The sequence below is a fragment of the Homo sapiens genome, chromosome 5, assembly GCF_000001405.40.
Source record: "Homo sapiens chromosome 5, GRCh38.p14 Primary Assembly".
In the NCBI taxonomy this organism is placed as follows: Eukaryota; Metazoa; Chordata; class Mammalia; order Primates; family Hominidae; genus Homo; species Homo sapiens.
In genome coordinates, this window is record NC_000005.10 from 90,157,774 (window position 1) to 90,177,945 (window position 20,172).

General features: G+C 38.3%; 1 long non-coding RNA gene across 1 annotated transcript in view; it reads right to left on the reverse strand.

Moving 5' to 3' along the window:
• Nucleotides 1–565: 565 nt before the first annotated feature.
• The window catches only part of LINC01339 (long intergenic non-protein coding RNA 1339), a 131,733-nt gene continuing 112,126 nt past the window's right edge, over nucleotides 566–20,172 (reverse strand). Inside the window, exons 5-6 of the long non-coding RNA NR_120601.1 lie at nucleotides 2,756–2,816; nucleotides 566–746 (exon numbers count right to left, since the gene is read on the reverse strand). This is a non-coding gene — a long non-coding RNA (long intergenic non-protein coding RNA 1339). The remainder of the gene's footprint in view (nucleotides 747–2,755; nucleotides 2,817–20,172) is intronic.

The following is a 20,172-nucleotide window of genomic DNA, read 5'->3' on the forward strand; positions in this document are numbered from 1 at the left end:
CCAAATGTGGCCCACCACTTGTCGTATATAAAACAAAATAAATATAGCCTACAAAGCCTAAAATATTTACTATCTTGTCCTCTACCAGAAAGGTTTGCTGATCTCTGAGTTGAAGAATGGCAAAGTTAGAAAGAGAATGTAAGTGTTCTAAGTATTCTTTTCTTATTATGTTGTTGGGCAAAAATATCATTTTTCAATAATATCAGTATATTTTAATGGGCCTATTTCATGATTCTGATCAGCACTTCTTAAATTTTTTAAGGATTTTTAGTTGTTTTTGTTTTGGGAGTTCCCCCAGCCCCATTTTTTAGGTCTCCTTGTTTTGCTTTTAGTTTTCCTATCAAAAGAAAGAGATAAGTCACAGGAGAAGGAATACACATCACAGTTTTCTATGATACCATCAGTGAAGCAAATTCATATCAATTGAAGAAAATTAATATCTGAGGTCAGGGGTTGGCAAACTTTTTCTACAAGGGCAAGGATATTTTTAGCTTTGCAAACCACATGCTCTCTGTCTCATCTACTCGACCCTGATGTTTAACAGAAAAGCAGCCACAAACAGTGCTTAAATAAATGGCTATGTTTGTGTACAATAAGACTTTATTTATAGAAGCAAGTGGTAGGCTGGAGTTAGCCTGCAATCGTCATTAGCCCACCCCTATTTTGGATAATGTAGGGACACACGCACAAGCAGGGAGGTAGCAGGGATGTGGCACTGCTGCTTGAGATGTTTGCAGTTGTAAATCCTATACAGAGAAGGAAGGGGAATACAATACATGAGATTCATGTCATAACAATATTTTGCCTGTTTACTACATTTTTTTATTCAGTATACTCTAAACTATTATCCAGTTTACTAATAATATCGAATTAGAGTTGAGTTAGTATACTGAAAGACCTCATAAGTTAAAATTTAGTCTTTATTATTACAACTTGAAAATCTTACCTTTTTGCAGTAGATTTAGTTCTTCAAGATATAAAAAGAGGTCATTTCAGATTTCAATAGCCCCACTAAAACAGCTACCTCCCAGCCTGAGAGTCCTGAAACAGGCTTTTTTCCCTCTGTTGTCAAACCTTCCTAAACACAGTATTCGCAGACTGTGTGGTATGTTTTCCTCCTAGTTTTCAGAATCCCTGAAGTTCTTCCAATACAAAAAAAAAGGCTTATTTTTACCAGTTGGTGGAGGATGTTCCACTTTCAAAGGGAGAGAATTTTTAATTCCCTCCATAGGGCTTCATAGCTATTGTAAACTTCATGGGCAGGCTTTCACCTGCATAGAGGACCAATTCCACATAATGCCAACCATTCTAGGGTAAAATGGATGGGGTGAGGGTGACAGTAACCCTGTACCCATTACTAGCACATAGTTAAAAGGTAATATGAAAATAGACTTTGGGGAAAATTTTATGTTTTATATTTACCTCAAAATAAATGCCTACTTAGACAAAAAATAAAATTCTTTCCACTGCTAAAAGCAAATAAATAAATTTCCCAGAGATTCAAAAATGAAAAGAATATTACCTTTGTCCCTAGGATAGATATATAGATGAATAGATTTCAGAGCATTTTAAAATGCACTGAAAAAGTAAGCAACTAATTAGCAATTAGAAATGTATAGTAACATTAATTACATAAATATAAGTGTACATATATAAGTAATTATAAAAAGCAAGGCACAAACATTATAATATTACTTTCAACCAGTTCAATCTGAAGAAAAGGAAATTTTGAAATGTTTGCTTTGAAAGCTCAGAGAATTATCCACGTGTGAAAAAATCCAAAATTGCTTCAAAGTGTAAAAATTATTCTTCTTTCCACCTACAAGTAAGTCAAAATTGCTGTGCACATTTTCATCAAAATTTCTTAAAAGAAATTATCCAGCAAGGAAAATCTTTGAAGCTATACAATAAAAACTTCAGGGACAAAAGAAAACTATTCTCAGTGCCTTCATCTATAGAGTACAAGCAAAACAAACCACCCTTTACACACAAGCACATGTGTGTGTACGTTTATTAATTGATTCAACAAAATTTTACTGAGAGTCATGTACATTAATTTGTACACAATTGTATGCATATAGGCATGTGTATTTTACATGAGTATAATCATATGTGTGAATATATCTGCAAAAGCAAAGCCAAGAGGAAGGCCTAAGGATAAAGAGCAAATATTCATGTAAAGAAACCCCCAACCACATGAAGGCACCAGAAATTATTCTATATATACAAAAATGTTGTATATAGTGATGTTAGAGATCATAATGAATATTGGAGGTGAGAACAGGATGACCTCAAGGGTATCCTTCTGGAGCATCAGAAATGTCTTTGATGGGCAATGATGGAGAGGCACCTGCTCTTAGGAGAGGACATGGAGGGAAAGGCAGAAAAGATAAACTGTGTCACATCACTGTTTAAGAGCAATGACCAAAATTGGAAATTCTTCTCTAAACTTTTTAATTAAACATTTTAAAGTAAAATTGATTATTTAAAAATACTCCTTAAGTTGTCTGGAAGGCTGCTTAAATTTGTGGTTGTTTTGGTTGTAATTAATAATAGTAATAACCACTGTTTTCACTTCTAAAGTAAGAAAAAGTAGAGGCTGGCCATTAACTTTTCTCCTTAATCTCTGGCAAGCCTATATTTCAATTGCCTTTTATAGCCAGAAATAAGGAACTAAATTAGTAATCCATATATAAGATGCTTCTCAGGTAGGTAGCAACTTACCTAGTAATACTAGGGAAAAGGATGCTCTTACCATTACTGATACACCATCATGTAGTCTCCAGGCCAGTGTGCTTGTTGAAGTTAACAGGTAGCTGCAGCCATCATAAGATTACCATTGGGAAAAATTCAACATGATATAATATTAAACAGTAATTTCTGCAGAGATAAAAACAGGTTAGTCATTATAACAGCCAGACCCTGGATTTCCAAACTAATAGATATCTGGTTTTTAATTCTGCCTTAGAAATATAATGCACACCTATTGGAAGCTTATTATTTCATAAGAGAAGTACATAGGAAAAAACTCCAGGCCCTAGGAATTGAGAAAAAGAAGTTCATTTTTTTGAAGTGGGAAGAATGTCCAGAACCTATTAGAACCTACATTCCCTCCATTGCTCTTCCCAGGAAGATCAACACTCACTTTATCAAGAGAAAATGTCTCACTGTGAAAAAACAGGGCCCATTGTGAAGCTGAAGGAGCCAAGCAGACTTGTCTGCTTAAGACCTAAAGGTCTGCCCAAGAGACAGAGCCCTGAAAAGAAGTGAACCTAGTCAGCACAGAAAGCATCTTGGCAGGAGCCATCTAACTGCAAACACCAATACCTCTATAGCTTCTCCTTTAGAAATAGTGCCAGACCAAGCCAGCTTACCTGGTCATCTTTCATTCCCAACTAGATCTGCCCAGTACCTCATGGCAGGTGATCAAAGAACACTACCATCTCGGTGTGGCCTCCCAGCCCTATACCTGCCAGGCTGCAGCCTGCCCAACGCAGGGTGGCAGGGTCAGAAGGACATTTTAAAAGGGGATGAAAATGACCTTTAATATTTTGAGCAGAATGATAACTTCTTGGCAGGTTATATTGCGATAGCACTTTGGTTACATAATGATCATCTCAATTTCACATTCATTTTAAGAAGTTTTTGCCAGAAAATAGTAATAACAATAATAATAATGGTGAAATACAGGGCTTTATTCCAGAATGTAAATCCTTGACCAATGCTTCCTCTAGAAGGATAAGCTGTGACGCTGCAGATTTCCTGGACCTACACAGTGAGCTGCCTGTTCCCAGTGACACAGAAGCCATGGCCCAGGCAGCTAGTGCATTCTGTAACCCAGCTCAATGAAAACTAAGAGTTTGGCGCCCCCTCTTCCTCACCAGAGGCTCTAATTGTAATGGCCACCCTGCTCCACCTCCACCCACTGGTCCAGCGCCAAGTTGCCTGAAACTTCCCCACACCACACACAACGTGGCTAACAAGAACCTCTGTTCCCAATACATTTGATCATCAAAATAGCACCATGTTTCCCCCAGAGAAATGCAATTTCATCTCCATTTCAAGTAGGTTGATGTGTGGTAATCAGAGGGAGACATAAATTTTGAACTTGAGCTTTATGTTGTGACTAGCATTAATTTAAGTGCCCTGCATCAAAGATCTGAGCTATTCCTCTAAACTGCTTTAAAACCCACCATGACTTTTCGTTGTTTCAGAAACCCACAGTGCAATCTGCAATGCATTATAAATTTTAAGCAAAGAATCTTATCTATATTTTCTTGTGCATTCCAAAACTCCCTAAAATACTGATCAGAGACAGTGCCCACATTCCAAGACTAGTGCCACAAGTTTGCTACAAGTTGAGGGAGGAAAAAAAATTAAAGTAACAGATGTTTGGGTTGCCTACTTCTGCTATTTTCAAAACTTCATCAACAATGCAAAGTTTTAAATTAGAAATGTACTATAGTTCTATTGTTCCCTATGGAAATTTTTAACTAAAACCAGAGTCTAGGAATTCATTTTCAAATAAATATTCCAACTTTGGTTTTAAGAGGAAAAACTATACATATATATATATCCTCTTAGAAGGAATGAAAGTTCCATCTGATGAGAAGCCCCCTCCACTCAGCACCACAGCAGGGAGTAGAATTCAATTGGTGGTAACTGCTCCCCGCTGCTCTTGCAGACTTGGTGGCTCCATGGGGTGTGCTCTCAAGGCTTCTGCTGTCCAAAGGGGAAGCTGTAGGGGATGCTCACGGCCCCACTACAGCTAGAAAATTTTGTGGGTCTGGTCCTGTCAATCCTCGGGATAGCTCCACGTGAGGTATTCTCACTCACTTCAAAGACAGGGCAGCTTCAGAAGCCCTTCCAGAAGGCTTGCCTGCATCAACTCAGCATCCATGCTGCTCATCCCCCTCCTGGTTCTGCATGCCCAGCAAGGAAAGCTATTAGCTCCCTCCTGGCCTCAAAGGAAAGAGGGAGCAGAGTCCATTGTTTGCTCTCAAATCTGCATCCCTGGTGGCTAGTGGTTCACATATTAACTTAATTCAAAAGATTAGCAACACAGGGCTTAAATTATATAGGATTCAGAAAAGTTCTGATCCAGGCTGAGAATGGAGACTGGACCAACAAGTGGAAACTCATAAAGTAGAGCCAGTTTTATTTGAATGTAAATTGATAGAAGGAAGTCAACATCTTTTGTTGGTGGTATTGTTCCTAAAATCCTTTTGTCCTGTATCAATTTCCCCATCTCTTCCACAAAACTACTCCTGACTCAACTAGCCACAGTAATCCCTCCTTTCTCTGAGCTCTTAAAAATACCTGTAGTATCTGCTGCCAACTTAGCACTTTATTATATACTTACCTGTATTAGCCTCTGTATTATATTTTTAATACTGACTCCCCAAATAGATTTTGAGTGTCTCAAGGGCAAACAGAACGTCTTACACTTACTTTCAGGACCTATCACAGGAAGAGTGAGGAAGGGGGACCCAAGAGGACCATTTGGCATAAGCCTCATATTTAAAACAGGCCTCAAATTTAGATTTTTGATGACATCTCCAAATAAGGTTATACCTCAATTTTCATAGACGTACTGGCAAGAGTTTTTAAAAGAAGCATTTCATCCAACAACTTAAAATTCATCAGTTTCTATGATGCTCTTTTGGTATTACTTATTTTAATACTCCAGAAGCCTCAAAAAATAGAAATAATTTAGTTTACCTCAGATTTTCTGTAGTGCCTGGCACTCTGTTACAAAAGATAAATGCAGAAAATGTTCCCTAATGGTCACCAGACATGCTGCAGATGGAGGGAAGAAGTACAGAACTGTTACAGCACTTGACTATAACAAAAGCAGAGTTAGAGACCCAGGGCAACTGAAAAGATTCTACGCAGACTGGCTACAGTGAGCCCCTAAAGCGGTTGTGTGTGTTTTCAGGGCCCTCTCTCCTGTACAGCTACCTTGTCTCCTTCCTGATAACAACATTAGCATCAAAAGAAGGGGTCTGTCCTCTTTGTTTGATAATGAAGCACCTCCTAAGAAGTTGAAGATAAGGCAGCTTTGTAAACCAGTGGAACTTAGAGACAATAGCTGTGCTTCACCAGGTGTGAGAGAAAGCCGAGCAGGAAACTGTCTGTGAGGTGCAGCCAAAAGATTCTAAAAAATCCAGAACTCCAATCAAGGTAGTTTCCAGAAGTGATCTCAGGGAAGCAGGACTAGCATGTGATTCTAATGTAATCCAGAATCCCATACTGTCTTTGGAGAAAGATACTGTGACACAAAGTGTGTGTGAATAGTAAAGGGAAACACAAATTAGCCATGAGTTCATTGTGTGTGTTCCCTTTGTGAAGAGACTCAGGGGTAGTTGGTCATCTTCAGATGACACCTCCAAGACAACCCTGCGTTCAAGGCACCTCTTTCTACCCTATTCTTGACCTCAGCTGATGTGGTAGTTATTAGTACTGTTCACCAAATTTTTCTGGCTCTCCATCTTCTGGAACTTTATAGAATTGCATTCTCCTATTCTTCATCGCAATTAGGGATAGCCTTGGCTTGTTTTAGCCAATGAAATGTGAGTGACTTAAGAGCCAGAGAATGAGCCACTGCGTCTCCATTGTCCTACCTTGCTCATCACAGATCATGACGAAAACAGAGACAGAGACTTGCTCTGCAAAGGTCCTGAGTGAAAGAAGCCAAGCTCTCCAAATGACCAGTGGGGGCGATTTAATATGAAGAAGAAACAAGCCTTTGTTATTTTAAGCCACTGAACTCTTGGAATTATTTCTTAACACAGTTTAACCCACCCTATTCTGATTGATAAAATCAGCGATTACCTCACCATGCTTAATCCCCTGATCCTCAAACTGAAGTGCCTTCAGGGTTATGCTGTTCTATGCCAGGGGATTAGAGAAGCCACAGGATAGGGGAGGCACATGTTACCAGAGCATCCACCGGACTCACTGTTAATTTAAAATGTTATTTTTATATTCAAACATACACAAATGAGTACAAAATTTTATTAGTTTTTAAGATGAAAGAGGAGATTTCAAAGAATTTCAGAAGCACAGATTTAGTGGATAAAATAAGGCATTCCAGTAGAGAAGGGGCCTCTGAGAGAAGCAGCCTCAGTGAAGAGAAGAGAAACTGAGGCACAGAGAATCTATGTGACTCATCCAAGGTCACACAGCTAGGGAATGCAGCCCAGGTTGGCTGATCCAAGGCCAGAGCTCTTTTGGCCACACACACCTAAGCATGTGCAGTAATGATTCTTCTGGTATTCTCAACAACATAAGGGAGACAGCCATCCTCATGTGAGAACCAGCCATTGCCTCTTCACTGTTGACTAAGGATGCCGGCAATGAGGTAGCTGACCTTGCTACCAAATCATCACTGTTCACAGACAGAGATGCAACAAATATTCTGCCTTCCTTTCTTTCCCAACTTCTCACCATAGAAAGATAAAAAATAGATAAAGTTTGCCTTTCCCCCCAAATTTTCCAGCTTTCAATCTTTATAATCTAATAAATTATCTCCATGTTGGGGGTCATTAAATATAATGAGCTATTGGAGAAAAAAGTGTGTGTGTGTGTGTGTGTGTGTGTGTGTGTGTGTGTGTGTGCCTCCAAGAAGGTTCCCCAGTGATGAACAATGCCTTAATAGCTATCTTTGGAACAAGGCAGGGTTTGAATAAATAACCTTCTGCAGTCAGTTTAGTGCCAGATCATTCTTAAAAGCAATATCTTAGGTAAAGTTTGGAAGTAACATTTATGTTTTCTTTTTTTAATTGAAACTTAGCTTTTTCAGTCTCTTTTGGAATTTTATGAACCTAAATTTTCAAGTGGGAGAATTCAAAGCAGATGAAAAGCAACCAGATTTTTTAAAAAAGAAAAGGACTTAAAAATCATAACCCACCCTCACTCACAGTCTTTCAGAGCTAATTATATATAGTTAAGATAATCTGAAACTCTAGAAGCACCCTTGCCAACATTCTTTGTATCTATAAAATCAGCCTATGATAATTTAAGATCAATAGTTTGTAAAAGTCAATAGTCGAGTCCTACCTCTTGTAAGTGTGGCCAGTTTCTGATGCAGACATTGCCAATTGCTCAGCATTGTGAGATGCTCTGAGCCATGTAAGTCCATGCCATTCAATGTCCACAAGCATTAACTCAGGTTTCTTAGTAACTCATTTTTTATGCACATCACTCACAAAGAAGAGCTACTTTTATTTTTGCACAAGTCCTTGCTCACTTTCAGAGGACATAGCTCTCACAAATACACTTTGGTTTCCTTGCTCTCTCAGTAAACAGATTTTTTTCCTGCAATGCTCTTTTGGTGAAACTTGTTTTGAGAACAGTGAGTACCACCCTACATCAGATTTTGTCGGTTATGCTGTTATTGCAGATACAGAAGAAAAGTTTGTTTGAAATTTCCAAAAGCTCTCAAAATAAATGCCCCAGGATGGTCCCCATTCTACCTGTCCAAATTTGTCCCCCATCCTCTCCCTAAAGTCCTCCATCCCCGTCAAGTACACCCCCCAGCAACATTCCAAGCTGGCTCTATCTCTGAGGTTTTGCTCACACTATTTAAACACACGTGCACCCAGTGTCTGTGATGCACAAATTCTTCTGTCTGTCAATGTAAATCCTGTCCAACCTTCAAAGCCTAACCCAAGTCCCAAAGACTCCTGGAACACTTCCCATATCAAATTTACCCTCAACAATAACCCACTTCTGTGAATTCTGACAGCAATTGCTGTGCTTGCCATGTATTCTGATGTTTAGCCCTATTCCATTTTACATCATCCTGCAATTGCTTCATTGTGTATTTCTTAGATCTTTCATTTGATCAAAATGTCATACCATGGAGGGTATATGTATAAACCAAAGAATGAAATTCTTCAGGAGAGACCCACATGGTAACTAAGATCTTTGTATCTTTCCCAATTCTTAGATCATCAACTTTCAGAAGTTTTCCAGGTCTAATCTACAATGAGCATAGAAGGTACAGAGAGCTTCATCTCCACCCATCTACCACAAGAGTCACCCCTCAAATTGTGTGCCTCTTGGAGTCATACTCAAATGAAGGCCAAAACTGAGATAACCACAATTAGCCACTCTAGCAAACAGACTGCTTCACCAGCAAGGCTGAAACATCAACCAGGGCCAGGTGGTGGGAATTGTACAAAGAATCAGACAGAAGTAATGTGTCATGCATAACCAGAGGAATGTCAGCTACAGACCTTGCCCTCAGCCCCACAGGTATAAGCTATCCTCCAGGTAAATAGCCTGCATCACAAAGATGCCATGGAGCACAGGCATCCTAGACACACCCAGGGAATGAGACCTTGAAAAGCCAAGTGCCTATAGCATATAAGCAAATGTCTTATCATAAATAAAGTAAAGATAAAAACAGGAGATTTCTGTTACCTTTGGAGATAATATATAGTCCTATACACACTTAAATGTTTTAGCAGAGTGGCATGTTTAGTAAAGTGTGAAATTTTCAGTGTTTTTTCTGCATTAGTCAACAATATTATTCAGATGGTAAATAAGTTCACTTTTCCTGGCATTAATAGAGGTAGATTGCCGCATACACACACACACACACACAAACACACACACACACACACACAGTCTTCCTTAGACTTTATCCTTTTGGTTAACAATACCATTCAAATGTGCAATTCAGCTGCTCATCCCTATAGAGGCAAAATGTTATTTAAAAAGTTGCCTTCAGTTTGTGCCTATTGCTCTAGGGCAGCAGTTCTCAACTAAGGGTGAATCTGCCCCCAGGGGACATTTGCCAAGGTCTGAAGACATTTGGGGCTGACTTGACTGGGATAGTAGTATTGGCATGCTGGTAAACATCCTACAATAAACAGGACAATCTCCTACAACAAAGAATTTACTAGGTCCAAAATGTTAGTAGTGTCAAATTTGAGAAACTCTGTCCCAGAAGTAAAAGCAATACAACATTTCAAGGCAAGAATGCTTGGCCAGGTGCAGTGGCTCACACCTGTAATCAGAGTTTTTGGAGGCCAAGGCAGGAGGATCACTTGAGCCCAAGAGTTTGAGTTCAGCCAGGGCAAGATAGTGAAACCCTTGTCTCTACAAAAAAATAAAAATAATTAGTCAGGTGTGGTGGTACACACCTTGTGGAGGCTGAGGTGGGAGAATTGCTTAATCCTATGAGGTCAAGGCTACAGTGAGCCGAGATCATGCCACTGCACTTCAACCTGGACAACAGAGAGAGACCCTGTCCAAAAAAAAAATGCCAGATTGCTTCTTGTTTGAGGGAAATCACTTTAATAATCCTTTGACTTATGCAAAAGAAAAGTCAAGATCTTATTTTGAAATAGGTAATTTCAGACTCTAAGCCCTACTGATGGCTTTGTGAACAGCGTCTCTGCAGAGACTGGTATGATATTAACTTCCTATTAAATTCTTAAATTCGTTGAGTGAGAAAGGAAGAAAGAGTCAAGAAGTGTCCCAGATTTCCAGGAAGGACTGATTTGAGGGAATTCTCTTCTAAAGAGGGAGATAAAATAACGCTCAGCAATGTCACAGTAGGCAAGAGGCTAAATAAAGCCAGTCAAAATGGTGCTCCCCATGTTGAGCATGGCAGATGGCATCTGGAATTGGTGGGATTTCATCCAGCTGTAAGTTTTCCCTTTTCACACTGTTATTCTCTAACACCCGCAAGCCTTCAAAGAAAGTTTTATAAAGCACCACGGCCTAGTGTTCACTGTGTCTGAGGAAATAAGAATTACCTAGTCAAGGATGTCTTTAGAGGAAGTAGGTAAAAGTGTGAAGGAAGCCAGGGCAGACTGGGAGAGCAGTGAGATACCACAACCTGAGAGTGGCATAGGGGGAAATAAGGTGGGGCAGAAGCTTCCTAGAGCACCCAACAGCATATGGGAGGTTCTGCAAAGCAGCAGGGAAGTTATTGAGTCAAGTTGGCTGTCAGAAGAATCTGGCATCTCCCAGGAATGAAATGCTTTAGTATCCTTGCATGGTCTAGTCACTGGTTGAGCCCTTAATTGGCAAAGCCCTTAGGAAGAGTGGCCTCAAAGTAAACGGAGCCATAGATTCAGAGTGCAACAGCCAAGGTCAGTTACAGTCCTTATACTGGGAGGTCAGCAAGGTGCATTCTCATGGCCACATCATGAATAAAACTATAACTAGCTATTTGCGTGATAAGAGGAAGTGTTTCCTGGAACTTCCATGTCTCAACCCCACCATCTGTTCATATGCCCTCTTTTCTACAGGAGTAGCAACAGATACTTTAATTGCTGATTAATCTCTCAAAAGTAAATAGCTGCCAACCGAGTGTAAGAATAAAGAAAATGAGAAGTCAATTGTTCTAGGATCACCAGAGAAGCAGAAAACTCTCAGACTTTAGAGAGTGCCCAAATTAAGAAACTCTTCACCCACCTTTTAGCTTCACTTGAAACTGGCCCAGGATATGCCATTCAGGGCCCCACTGCAGGGCACCTTGGCGTGTTGCCAGCCCTCTGTCATACAATGACTGCCAGCTCCTTCCAGACTTTGAAATGCTCTATGAGAGAACCATCATTACCTACCATAGAACTTCTAAGGGAAAATTGAGTTGAATAAATTATTAGCAATTTCATAATAAACTTCAAATCATCCTCCATACATTTTCTTCTAACTGCCAGAGTAATTCATATATTAAACATTTAGATAGTACCATCATTCCTTGTCAACTTTCCCTTGTGAGAGATTGTTAAGAGTAGAGCATTATGTTCCAGGAGAGTTTGAGTTCAGAAAGGCCTCAAGGCAGACTGTGAGCTAGAAGCCTTCTCAAAGGCCTGCCAGCTCTGTGATTTTATGATTTCTGATGAAAAACGATAGCACATTGAGAAACTGTCCCTGAAACAGAAAGGAAAGTCAGTGGAGAAGCCAGCCTTAGGGAATGCCTCACTTCCTAGACTATCTCCTAAAATATAGACTATATATTAGAACCATAGATACTCATATTGTCCCTTTATTTCTGAGCTTCTTTTGGAATAAGTGGTTATTAGAAGACAGTATTTGTTTGCATTTGTAAGCATTCCAAAAACAGCATGCAGAAGGACAAGTGAGCCTTAAAAGAGCATCATGAGATTTTTGGTTTTGGTCCTGGACAGAATGTCAAGCATGACCTGCAGTTATTTTTCCAATAACAGTGTGAACCAAAGTCCATTTCTCCATTTTGTCTTACACACCCACTTGCCAGATCTAAACAGAATAAATATTGATACAGTGACTTCAGACAAAGTTAAAGTCAAGTTGGCCTAAAGCACCAGGAACATCAGAAATGTCCCTTAGTGTGTTCTTCATTCAAGTCCTTAGAATTTTTGGTTGCTCTGACAATAAAATTACTGCACACATTGTTTTCATCTTCTATTTGTAGAATACTAGAACACAAAAATGTTATTAACTTCACAAAGTGTGTATACACACACACACACTCATACATGCACACAAAAAATGCTCAGCTTGTCAACAGCTTTAGTGAAGTAAAATACAATTGATAATTAGAAACATGTGTCCCCAGCAAAGAGGCACAGAAACTAAAAGGTCATCTTTTTCCAAATGACCTAATTAGAAGAGCCTGGAGTGCTGGCTACAGTATAATGGTTTTGCACAGCTTTTAACTCAGACTTCCTGTTTTAAAACAGTGCAATTTACTGCTCCTGCAGCAAATATGAATGGTCACTTAATGCCAACAGAATTAGGCCTTACAACACCACCTGCCTCCAGCAATCTCATTGTTAGACCCATCAGCTGAGGATTGCTGATTTACCATCCCAGAATGACGATTTAGAACCTAGTGCCAGGATTGCTGCCAAGTTGAGAACAAGGATTTCATGTAGAAGAGAGCCCACTTGGTACTTTATATTAATGCCAATTGAAATATGCATGAATAGACCAGAGGCAAAGCGGTTGTTCAGAATCAGACTATCAGTGAATGCTTCTTAGGTTCTTTTTTTTTTCTTTTTGGTCCTAGAGCTAGGATTTTGATGCTGAATAATTTTAATTGACCAGAGACAACAGACACAAACTGGCTGAAAATGCTGCATGGTAGAAACTTAAACAGACACCCAAATAGAATTGTCATTTTAAATAGACACCTCTGTAAATCTGTACTTAATCTCTCTCATATGTATTCAGTATTTCGTGATGTTTCAGCAAGTATTCATCTTGCTTGTCTTTTTCTTTGCCTCAGTTCTCTCATCTGAAATACCTAACTAATGCTTTGGAGCAGCAATGTTAATTGAGGACTGTGAAGAATAAAAATTCGGTAACAGCAATGGATGCTCAGCTACAGACTACATTTCTCAGCCTCTCTTGTAGCTAGGTGTACTCATATGACGAAGTTTGGTCTCACAGGATGTGAGTGGAAAGGATGTGTACAACTTCCAATGCACCTTTATGCAGATGGTTTGCCTTGAATTTTCTCTGTCCCCCTGTTGATGGCTAAGAAGTGATGATAATTTTAGCAACCTTGGGTAAACAACCTTGGGTGATAAAGCTTTCCTGACAGCCTTGGATCATTCATCTATATACTCTTCCATGAGAGAAATAAACTTCAATCACTGTTAACACACTGTGGATGAGGGCTACTTTGTTAAGCTGTACCTCAACTAATAAAAGCAAAGGGAGCATCAATAAGTTGCATCTACTCTTGTGCCCAGAATTTTGTGTATATCTTTTGCATCGTTCAGTTCATTAGTAAACCAAACTGAAAGTAACTTTAACTTTGGCTAATCCTTATTTTTGCCAATTCTTGAACTAAACTTGTCTTTAATATCAAACTTAGTTCATGGGCTCTGTTCTGCAAAATAAGGAAGATGAGGCTGTTGAAGTTGCAAAATCCAGTGGTTTAAGGTTCTGAACTTTACTATGACTGGAAGTAGACCAATCTGAAATATGTTTCTGGCATTGTATCCAAAGAAGTACATCTGTAAATGCTGTTTCTATAATTTCCCAGATAGAAAAGTTTTGATACATGTATTTTCCTTATATAATAGTTTCTTTGCAATATTTTAAATTCCTATCTGTCCACTGGCTTCTTCCTTTGGACCCTTAGTCACTCAAAGGTCTATTTGAATTTATAATATCTCTTAACTGGATTCTTCTGTTCCTCTGATAAGATTTGTTTTATGCATCACTTTCCCTACCCAAATTTCTCAGTGTGGTCTAGGACAACTGTTTCTATGCCTATATTCTCATTCTCTCCTTAAATCCCTAAACCTGTGTCTGCTTCATCCCAATCTACTACAATTTCACTTAAAAGATAATCACTCTATTTTCCCATTTCTTATGTTCCTAGACTATTTACACACTCAGCAAACATTTATTGAGCCTCATCCATGTGTCATGAAATAGGCAGATTAGAATACAAAGCACAGTGCTTGAAGATCTTCACAGTTTTATAACATTGGACCGTTTTAAAGAATCTCCTTGAACTTCTTATGATTTCCATGGAAACACACCATTCTTCTTCTCATCCTACTGTTCTGATTATTTCATTCTTTTTCTGGGCTGATCCGCTTTCAATACCCCTTAATAGAGGTTTCCTCCAATGCTCAGTACCAGGTCCTCTGCTCTGCCTTTGTACTCTCTCCTTTTGAAATAGCATCAGTTGTTCCAGCTTCACTGACTGTCTTTTGTAAGTGATTTTCATTTGTCTCTGGGCATAAACTTCCACCCAAGCTTCAGTTTCATTGTCCCAATTACACTTTATTGCCTCAACCCATGAAATCCCAACATGTTTAAAACTAAACAAATTTCTTTACCTTACATATACTCCCATTCCTATGCCTCATCTAATATATTCCTCTGACATATTCTCCTACATACATGTACATCAACTTTCTTGTCTTGCTCTCTCTTTCTGGGTTAACCAAGCCTGCCTGGACAATAGTAAAAACAGAAGTTCCAATCCAAGCAATCTATTTCCTTGTCTGCTTTAATTCAGGCCAACTCACTCATAGTAGCAGGCAAACAGGCATTTACCTTCCCTCAGAGCATGGTGTCTTTTATGCAGTGCCAAATAAGTGGGGGAACAAATGAAGAAATGTCAATAAGCAATTACATATGTACTAACAACGTTAACCTGACAAGTATTTGAGGAAGAAGTAATATGCTTAGTCTCCAAAGAGTTCTCAAATATTCAGGCTTGGATAAAAATATTTATAACAGAAAAGCAACAACAAAAATCCCTCTAATTTTTGTTCTCTCATTTTCTACACTCATGATGTTGAACAGACTTTCCTCAGGATGGCCCTATAGCACCGTCTACCCCAGAACCAAATCAGAGAAGTACTCCTGGTTCCTTCCATTTCCACTGTACTTTAAAATGGGAAGCTACGTTTCCTTTCCTTTCCTTAGCTATGGTTGATATTAAACCTACCCGTCTATTATCCTCTTATTTTTGGTTCTACTTTTTTGGCAGAGACCTATTTTTCTTGGATTATTTTTTACACATGTTTACATGTTTCAGAAAAAAAAACTATGAGATTTACTTTTGTCTTATTCTGTATTTCATCTCATATATGCATTCTTTTTCTTGTTTGCTTTATCATTCAATCATTCATGGTTCTTAAATGTAAACAGACATAAAAAAAATGCTTAAAGAATGAATGTATACTGAGTCTTCAGGATGACCTAAGAGTCAGGTTTGGTGGCTACTTGGTCAAGACTAATGCCCAAACCACTCTCGGAGACTGTCCAGCAAAAACCACAGCCACACTGCCCAGGGCACTCAGCACAGGACATCAGAAATTGTTCTACTGCTGCCCCAGAAGGGCAGGGTCTCAGCCACCACCTTCACCAGAAATGAGTTAATCATTGTGCCTACTTTTTCCCATTGCTTACTTCTGAACTGAAGTCTCACTGAGGGCCATCTGATTGGTAATAGCTCAGTCATGACTCTGTCATACCTATGAGGAAGGCTGGGAAAATGAATTACTATCCTCAGCCCTGGAGACTAAGAAGGTAAGAAATATCCTCAAACTAGAAAGGGTATCCAAGGATTCTATACAAATAAAAAGGTCTGACAAATATCCACTACATTAACTCACTGGCTTTCCTTTCCCACTTCTCTATCTCTGCCAATGTTGCCATCATTTTACCAAATAGCAAGGCTTCTATCAGTCATGTGTTATCTTTTTTCTCCTTCATTTCCTGAATACAATCAATCAACAATTACTTTCAAGAAATCCACTACTTATCCAGTATAATTACTCATGCTGGAGAAATTCAAACAAAGTATAAGCCATGATTAGACTGAAAATCTTAGAAATAACATAGAGAAAATAGTTAAAGAATTATAAGTAGTATAATGAGAAGATTGATTTTAATACAATAAAGATTTTGAGGAGAGCTCTATCAGAGTGGATAAAGAAGTTAAGAAAGGAAAGTTTTATAGAGAAATTCAGTATTAAATTAAGCTTTAAGTTTGAGCTACAGATGAGGAATATACAGAAGAATGTACTTGTGCTTTTTCCAAAACCTCACTAAAATAAAAGTAAAGAGATGAAAAGCTATGAACCTATAACAAGTGCTACTTAGTCGAGAACAATGTCCAAATTACACTGACAGAATGTCCCACAAAGATTCCACCTACACTGCCCAAGGCGCCCAGAATAGAATCTGGAGAGGGGCCATTGGCAGACAAAAAATTTTAACAAAATTGTTGAAAATCTTAAAATAGAGGAATGATAACTATGTAGATGAAACCACAGATTAGAAAGTTTTCAAGGAGAATGCATCTAATAAAGAGGTCGGTTAGCCCTCGAAACTCTGGACTTACCTGCCATGTGCTAGAGAAAACTCTAGAAACCAGGTATCTGTCCTTGGAAAGAGAATGAATGCTCTTCCTTTATAGGAACCTGAATGAGCCTAGAGAAAGACCACATTCTGATCCATAGGGCTTTTCTAGCATGAGTGTCAGCTCTTCACATAATAACTGTAAGACAATACCTTCCAGTCCATGAGCCACATCCAAAAACATAGATTTCCCATTTAACTTTTTGAGGTCTTATTTTTAAGTATAGACAAGATTATCAGACTTGAGGAAAACATTCAAGATGCAAGAAAAAGACAAAAAGAATAATAAGAATCAAAAAGAATATACAACCCCAAAGACAATTAAAACTGTAAACATTTTTTAAAATTCTTTAACAATTATATTGCATCTATTACACAGAAGCATGGTGCTATGAAAAAAAAAGAAGTGATAATAAGAAAGGCCTCTGGCAAATTAAAAAATATAAGTGAAATTAAAAAGAGTTAAAAGATAAAATATATGAATCTCCCAAAAGATTAAACAAAAAGAGAGAAAAAAAATATGAGATGGAAAGTCTGACAGAAATTTTATAAAATATAACACTGTGGTACTGGAGGTTCACCATCTGACAAAAGAAAGAACAGAACAAATGGAAAGAAAGAAGTTGTTTAAAAAAAAGTACAAATAAAATTTCCAAAGTTTTTGAGATTGGTCTCTAGCTCCCAACACCCCACTAAAAGAATAGAATTATTATTGAATGAATGAAAATCATCATACCATGGCATGTTCTAGTGATATTTCAGAATGTCATAAAAAAGAAGAGACGCTAAAATTTCCCTCCATGAAGCAATATCCAGTACTCTTACACAGAAATTTGAATTCAGAATGCTGCTTCTCAACAACATAGAATATTAAAGAGTGAAAATTGAAGCAATGCCTCAAATTTCTGAGGGAAAACACTTTTCAATGTTTATATCTTTAGAATTTAACTAAACTATAAATAATATGTTTAAATATAAAGACATACTCAGACAGGTAAGAACTCGTACAATTTTCCTCACACACACCTTTTCTTAGGAAGTTATCTGGGAATGTGATCCAGCAAAAGATGCGAGTAAGCCAAAAATAAGCCAAAAAATTACACCAAAAAAGAAACAGTTGACTCAACCAAGGAGATATTTCTTATTCTAAGCTTACTACATTATAGCAAGCTTGTTAATCACTCTCCCACATAGGAACAAAAAGATGAAAAATAAGTAATGAGGACACCAGGAGAAAACATTTCAAAAACTTTTTTTTAAATGCCTGATATGGTAAAGGGTTTGAAAAATAAGTGGAGAGTTACTAGAAGGAAGCTATGAAAGTTATTTGAAACCAATGAAAAAAAAGAGACAATGTACCAGAGTATCTGGGACATAGCTAAAGCAGTGTTATGAGGGAAATTTATAGCACTAAATGCCCACATTGGAAAGCTAGAGAGATCTCAAATTGACACCCTAATATCACAATTAAAAGTGCTAGAGAGGGAAGAGAAAACTAATCAAAAAGATAGCAGAACAAGAAATAGTTACTAAGATCAGAGAAGTATTGAAGGAGATAGAGACAGGAAAAACCCTCCAAAAAAAAAAAAAAAAAAAAAAAACAAAAACAAAAACAAAAATGAATCCAGCAGCTGGTTTTTTGAAAAATTTAGCAAAATAGACCTCTAGCTAGACTAATGAAGAAAAGAGACAAGAATCAAATAGACGCAATAGAAAATGATAAAGGGAATATTATCACTGACCCCACAGAAATGCCAACTACCTTCAGAGAATACTATAAACATTTCTATGCAAATAAACTAGAAAATCTAGAAGAAATTGATAAATTCCAAGACATATACACCCTACTAAGACTAAACCAGAAAGAAGTTGAATCCCTGAATAGACCCATAACAAGTTCTGAAATTGAGTCAGTAGTTAATAGCCTACCAACCAAAAAAAGTCCAGGACTAGAAGGATTCACAGCCAAATTCTATCAGAGGTTCAAAGAGGAGCTGGTACCATTCCTTCTGGAACTATTCCAAACAATTGAAAAAGAAGGACTCCTCCTAACTCATTTTATGAGGCCAGCATCATCCTGATACCAAAACGAGGAAGAGACACAACATAAAAGAAAACTCCAGGCCAATATCCCTGATGAACATTGATGAGAAAATCCTCAACAAAACCAAATCCAGTAGCACATCAAAAAACTTATCCACCACCATGGCTGGATGCAGTGGCTCACGCCTGTAATCCCAGCACTTTGGGAGGCCGAGGTGGGCGGATCATGAGGTCAGGAGATCGAGACCAGCCTGGCCAACATGGTGAAACCCCGTCTCTACTAAAAATACAAAAAATTAGCCGGGCATGGTGGCGGGCACCTGTAATCCCAGCTACTTGGGAGGCTGAGGCAGAAGAATGGCATGAACCCAGGAGGCGGAGATTGCAGTGAGCTGAGATCGTGCCACTGCACTCCAGACTAGGCGACAAAATGAGACTCCATCTCCCCTCCCCACCAAAAAAAAAAAAACTTACCCACCACGAACAAGTTGGCTTCATCCCTGGGATGCAAGGCTGGTTCAATATATACAAATCAATACACATAATCCATCACATAAACAGAACCAAAGACAAAAACCACATGATTATCTCAATAGATGCTAAAATGTCTTTGATTAAATTCAACATCCCTTCATGTAAAAAACTCTCAATAAACTAGGTATTGATGGAGCATGTCTTAAAATAACAAGAGCTATTTATGACAAACCCACAGCCAATATCATATTGAATGGGCAAAAGCTGGAAGCATTCCCTTGGAAAACCAGTACAAGACAAGGATGCCCTCTCTCATCACTCCTATTCAACATAGCATTGGAAGTTCTGGCCAGGGTAATCAGGCAAGTGAAGGAAATAAACGGTATTCAAATAGGAAGAAAGGAAGTCAAATTGTCTCTATTTGCAGACAATATGATTTTATTTGGAGAAACCCCATCGTCTCAGCCCCAAAACTCCTTAAGCTGATAAGCAACTTCAGCAAAGTCTCAGGATACAAAATCAATGTGCAAAAATCACAAGCATTCTTTTTTACCAACAATAGACAAGGAGAGAGCCAAATCATGAATGAGTTCCCATTCACAATCACTATAAAGAGAATGAAATAGTTGGGAGTACAGCTAACAAGGGACGTGAAGGATCTCTTCAAGGAGAACTACAAATCACTGCTCAGGAAATAAGAGACAATGCAAACAAATGGAAAAACATTTTATCCTCATGGATAGGAAGAATCAATATCATGAAAATGGCCATACTGCCCAAGGTAATTTACAGATTCAATGCTATTCCCATCAA